Source organism: Homo sapiens, chromosome 14 (assembly GCF_000001405.40).
Source record: "Homo sapiens chromosome 14, GRCh38.p14 Primary Assembly".
NCBI classification, from domain to species: domain Eukaryota; kingdom Metazoa; phylum Chordata; class Mammalia; order Primates; family Hominidae; genus Homo; species Homo sapiens.
In genome coordinates, this window is record NC_000014.9 from 89,605,516 (window position 1) to 89,611,713 (window position 6,198).

At 43.5% G+C, this 6,198-nt stretch overlaps 1 protein-coding gene across 1 annotated transcript in view; it reads right to left on the reverse strand.

Moving 5' to 3' along the window:
- Positions 1-6,198, reverse strand: part of FOXN3 (forkhead box N3) — a 462,989-nt gene that overhangs the window by 449,339 nt on the left and 7,452 nt on the right. The window lies entirely within an intron of this gene.

A 6,198-nucleotide genomic window follows, 5' to 3' on the forward strand; every position in this document is an offset into this window, starting at 1 on the left:
GAAGAAATAAATTAGAATATACATGTAATTACAATAAATATAAATGCATTATGTATTTCAGTTAAAAGACAATTATTTTCAGACTGCACAAAAACAATATCCAGCTACATTTGTACATGTCATATATAAAAATGCAGCTTAAATATTAGAACATGAAGAGTTATTTATATTAGAAAAAATATATTATGTTTTTGTTAACATATTAGAAATGAAAACTTCAAAAGTAATTAACTAAGCTGTCAGAAAAATACAAGTTTTATACTCTATTAAACACAAAAGTGTAAGAAGAATAAAGATACAAACAGAAATTAAAAAGAGGCTGAACGCAGTAGCTCACACTTGTAATACCAGCACTTTGAGAGACTAACGCAGGAGGATTCCTTGAGCCCAGGAGTTCAAGACCAGGCTGGGCAATATAGCAAGACCCCATCTCTACTAAAAAGTAAAAAAACTGGCCAGGTGTGGTAGTGCCCCATATAGTTTAAAATGATAATATGTAATCTGTGAGATTAAAAAAAAAAGTAAGCAAGCATATAAATGATATCACAAATGAAAAACTGCGATGGCACAGAGATTAAAAATAAGAATTAGAGGCTATTATAAACAATCATTATGCCTCCCAATGTTAAAACCGAGATGAAGTCAATAAATTCCTAGAAATGCATAAATTGGTAAAATGGATTCACAAAGCAATAAAACACCAGATTAGTCTTACTATAAAATAAGTTGAATTAGTAGCTGTAATCTTCCTAAAAGAAAATACCACTTCCAGATAAACAGATGACTACTATCAGAAGGTAACTACTATTTTGAGGTATACATAATTCTAGTCTTATACAGACTATGCCAGATAATAGAAAAACTCTTTATTTTAAGAAGGATAGAAAAACATTGATACCAAAATTTGATAAGATCAAGGTTGAGCATTGAAGCCAGCAAAAAAGAAAAAAAAATTGATAAGAAAAGAGAATTATAGGACTTCTCACGCCTGAACATATGTATCTAATACATGTGCAAAATTTGGAGTGTGTGTAGTATAAAAATAAAACTGTAGCCGGGCGCAGTGGCTCATGCCTGTAATCCCAGCACTTTGGGAGTCCGAGGTAGGCGGAGCACCTGAGGTCAGGAGTTCGAGACCAGCTTGGCCAACATGGCAAAACCCCAACTCTACCAAAAGTATAAAAATTAGCTGGGTGTGGTGGCGCACGCCTGTAATCCCAGCTACTCAGGAGGCTGAGGCAGGGGAAGCTTGAACCTGGGAGGCAGAGGTTGCAGTGAGCGGAGATTGCACCACTGCACTCCAGCCTGGGCGACAATAGCGAGACTCTGTCTCAAAAAAAAAATAAAATAAAAAAATAAAACTGTATACCTGCCTCACACACTATACACAAAAAACAATTCTGGCTTGACTCAAGACTGAAATATAACAGCCAAACAGGCACTTCGTAAATGAAGAAACATGTATGACCAATAAACATAAGATGCGTAAGCTTATTAATAACCAAGAAAATTAAAATTAAAATGAGATTATTTCACACCTACTAAATTGGCAAAAATGTTAAAGTCTGACAATATTAAATATCAGTGAGAATATGAAACAACAGAGACACTTAATGTTGGTGAGGGTGTTAACTGGTACAGCCACTTTTGCAAACAGAAGGCATTAAGATGCTGGAGAGCAGTGAGCTTGCCTCAAGATCTGTTGTGGCCAGCAGAGAGGACCCCATTTAAAGACCACCAAGTGGCTAAGACTCAGGTTTGGGCCAAGCCCGGTAGCTCATGCCTATAATTCCAGCACTTTGGGAGGCCGAGGCAGGCGGATCACTTGAGGTCAGGAGTTTGAGACCAGCCTGGCCAACATGGTGAAACCCTGTCTCTACTAAAAATACAAAAATGAGCCGGGCATGGTGGTACATGCCTGTAATCCCAGCTACTCAGGAGGCTGAGGCAGGAGAATCGCTTGGACTCGGGAGATGGGGGTTGCAATCAGCCGAGATTACCCCACTGCACTCCAGCCTAGACGACAGAGCAAGACCGTGTCTTAAAAAAAAAAAAAAAAAAGGACTCAAGTTTGCTGCCCATGCACACAGAGGTGGGACCGAGTCAGCAGGGAGTGCCACACAAGTTCTGATAAAGCCAAGAGGATGACCAGGCTAACATATTTAGCAAACTGGATCACTTATTGGAACCCAACCAATCTTTCTTTCCTTAACTAAAATAGAATGGAGTAGGTCAATCTGGATTAAGTGTAGCAGGGATGATAAAATCTGGTAAAATTTATGCTTCAACTATACATGCTATCTTTTTTTTTTTTCTTTTGAGACAGAGTGTCACTCTGTTGCCCAGGCTGGAGTGCAGTGGCGCTATCTTGGCTCACTGCAACCTCCACCTCCCGGGTTCAAGCGATTCTCCTGCCTCGGCCTCCCGAGTAGCTGGGACTACAGGCATGCGCCACAACACCCAGCTAATTTTTTTTTTTTTGAGACAGAGTCTCGCTCTGTCACCCAGACTGGAGTGCAGTGGCGCGATCTCAGCTCACTGAAAGCTCCGCTTCCCAGGTTCACGCCATTCTCCTGCCTCAGCCTCCCGAGTACCTGGGACTACAGGCGCCCGCCACCATGCCTGGCTAATTTTTTATATTTTTAGTAGAGATGGGGGTTTCACCCCATCCTGTTAGCCATCCTGTTAGCCAGGATGGTCTCGATCTCCCGACCTCGTGATCTGCCCACCTCGGCCTCCCAAAGTGCTGGGATTACAGGCGTGAGCCACCGTGCCCAGCCAACACCCAGATAATTTTTGTATTTTTAGTACAGACAGGGTTTCACCATGTTGGCCAGGATGGTCTCGATCTCCTGACCTCGTGATCTGCCCGCCTCGGCCTCCCAAAGTGCTGGGATTACAGGCGTGGGCCACCGCGCCCGGCCTATACATGCTATCTTATAAAAACTTTTGTTTCATCTATCCACAGCATACATACATATATGTGGTGTACAATGTATCTATATCTTACTGTAGGTCTTTGAAAACCACTAGACTAGACTATGTGTTATAAAACCACAGACTTCAACTGCTAGTATAGCTAAACAAGCAGCTCCCAGAAGGCAAGAAACCTTGCCTCCAACAGCAGAGGCCACCGAGCCTAGGGACCCTGAGTTTGTTCCTCCTTCATAAGAAATAAACAGAAGAGCAAGGTTGACATTCCTTCCCACATGCACTATCATAGGCGAAGAACTGGGGATGGGGTAGGCGAGACAACCTGAGGGAATAGCATTGTTTTCCTATGGAAGACTAGAATTATCTTAGGGAACTGTTTGGATTAGCAGATCCAACTAAGTTTTTTAACGGGTGTGATCAAAAGTTATTCTTTCTCTTGACGATCAATGGGTGTGTGCTGGGAAGGAAGGCTCACTGTAGACAAAATGAACAAACTGCATTTTCTCTGTACATTGGAGTTTTCCAGTGAATGAAAGTGGTGACTGTACAACATGGAGGAAGAAGGTTGTGGCCAGGGAACAAGATGTACAAAGGCTGGGAAGCTAGAAGGACCACAGCGAGTTCAGGGGTGAAGAGACACTGACTAGATCCTGGGGCATTCTCTGAGCAGTTTAATAAGTGGGGCAAGATTATAAAAGAACTTGAAAGTGAGGCAGAAAAAGAGAGAACTTGGTAGACTGGGCAATGAGAAGCCATCAAGATTCTTTTTCGAGACAGGGTCTCGCTCTGTCACCCAAGCTGGAGTGTAGTGGCGCAATCATGGCTCACTGCAGCCTCAACCTCCCAAGCTCAAGTAATCCTCCCACATCAAGCCTCCCGAGTAGCTGGAACCACAGGTGCACACCACCACGCCCGGCTAATTTTTGTATTTTTTGTAGAGATGGGGTTTCGCCATGTTGCCCAGGCTGGCATCAAGGTTCTTAGTAGACAAGGAACACAACAACATTGACAACATAACAATAAAAATAGCTACAATAATTTGAGTTGCAACCACGTGCCAGGCTCCGTGCCAAGTGCTTTTCAGGGACTCATGATTTAGCCCTCCCAATAATCCTTTCAGGATTTCCACATTACAGAGTTTTATTTCCATAGTACTTATGGAAATATCACCTAGGACTTGAGTCTTAGGTTAAGTAACTCGCCTAAAGTCACACAGCTGTTAAGTGGCAGGGAGGGGGTCTGAGAACAGGAAGTCTAGCTTCAAAGCCCATATTTCAAGAGGGTTTTAGGGACAGAAGTCTTCCAGAGCACGATCAAGGTCACTCGTAGTTTTTTTTGGAGGGAAGCACCAGTAAGGGTTGTGGAGATGAACAGGAGGTGGATTTTAAAGAAAGCAATGAGAAGCCCTGGGGATAAATTAGATACATGTGATGTAAAACGAGGGCGGGGGCGGCGGCGGCTGGCGGTCCAAGTTTTCTAGCCTGGGAAATAAGGATAATGGTTGTAACCGAGGGAGAAAAAAATGAGGGCCCTTATGGATAATTTCTGCCTAAATGCTTAACTCTGAAATTATGCCACTCCTCTTGTTCCCATTTTTCAGGCTGAAAAACCACTCTGCCAGGATCTTCATGTTGAAGCTTAAAGGGACTATTAAAAATGATTATTCTAAAACATCTATAGTTGCAAGACTGTAGAAGGAACTGAAGAGGAAAGAGTGGTAGCAGAACCTGCTGATGTCCTGGGCACATGGCTTTCAGGCTTTACCATCTCAGGGCATGCCAGCCCAACTGCCACCTGCTACCAACGGCATCAAGAAGTCCCTGAGAACCTTCTCTGGCTGAAGGCTACTCTGACAGCTTTCATAGATCTCAAGTACTGGGATCAACACGCCCTGAGAGCAGTCTTCAACCCATGACCGAAAGCAGCGTGGCTGGCATAGGTGCCCCACGTGCCCCAGTGCGGCTGAGCTCCACCGCCCACAATGGATCTGACGGGATAACTCACGACTGGCTGCCTTCCCTTCCTCATTTCCCTCTCCTGCACCTACTGGTGTCTTCCTGGGATGGTCTCCCAAGAAAACCATCCACCCTTCAATCCCCCTTGCAGGGTCTGTTTCTAAATTAAAACCAAAGGCATAATATCTCCAGGAAGGATCTCATGAGGGTGGCACTTCAGTCTGTCTATATCTGCTTAGAATATGAACTTCAAAAGAGCCACATTTGGGGATATTTCCAGTTAAGAAACCTATGAGAATTACAGAACAGGGGATAGTCTGTCTGGGAATGATTTCTTCACCCTCGTATCCCTATCATAGGGCACAGTTCCTGGTATGCAGTAGGTGCCCGCAACTGCTCACTGAATGAACGTGAGGATGATTTGTTTCCCCCGATTTGTGCATATGTCTTTGGCATTTCCCTTGATTGATCTTTTAAAATAATTTCATACATGTGAAATATGTGAAATCAGACCTGTGAAATATTAATTAGTTCCATCAAGTTCTGATCATTCACCTGAACTCTTTAAGAGAATTAGAAAAGCAGCAGACACACATTTGACTGAAAATGTCTACATCTGTTCCATTGCTAGTTCCACCTGGTCACACGTATACTAGGCACAGTGGCATGCCCAGTGATGATTTAATTTTTAAGTTTCCCCTACACTCTTGCAAGAGCAGAGCTCTTGCTTAGATGAAAAAATCAAGCTGAACCCCAACCTAACTTCGTCTCTGTAGACTTTATATGACTTAGGGGTACAGGGGAGCCCCAAAAAGAAGACTGAATATCTTGCTGATCTGCTGACTTAAGCCAGTTTTTCTTATTCTGAAAGAAATCAAGGAGATGTCAGTGTATCTTAACACCTGAGTTTGTTGAGCCGTTCAGACCAAGTGTAAAAGTGAGTGCTGTCTAGGAAATCTGTTTTTTGTGTTAGACATGCTGCCAATTATAGCCAGTTAGACTGGGTATAATCTTTGGGTAATTCTGGAATTAGGACTTTTTATTTACCAAGTAGGTAAACGTGCTCAGGGATGGACGAAGAGAAAGTCAAAAGGTGAAGACAAATAAAGAAAAATAATGAGGCCGGGCGCGGTGGCTCACGCCTGTAATCCCAGCACTTTGGGAGGCCAAGGCGGGCGGATCACAAGGTCAGGAGATCGAGACCATCCTGGTTAACACGGTGAAACCCCGTCTCTACTAAAAATACAAAAAATTAGCCGGGCATGGCAGCGGGTGCCTGTAGTCCCAGCTGCTGGGGAGGCTGAGGCAG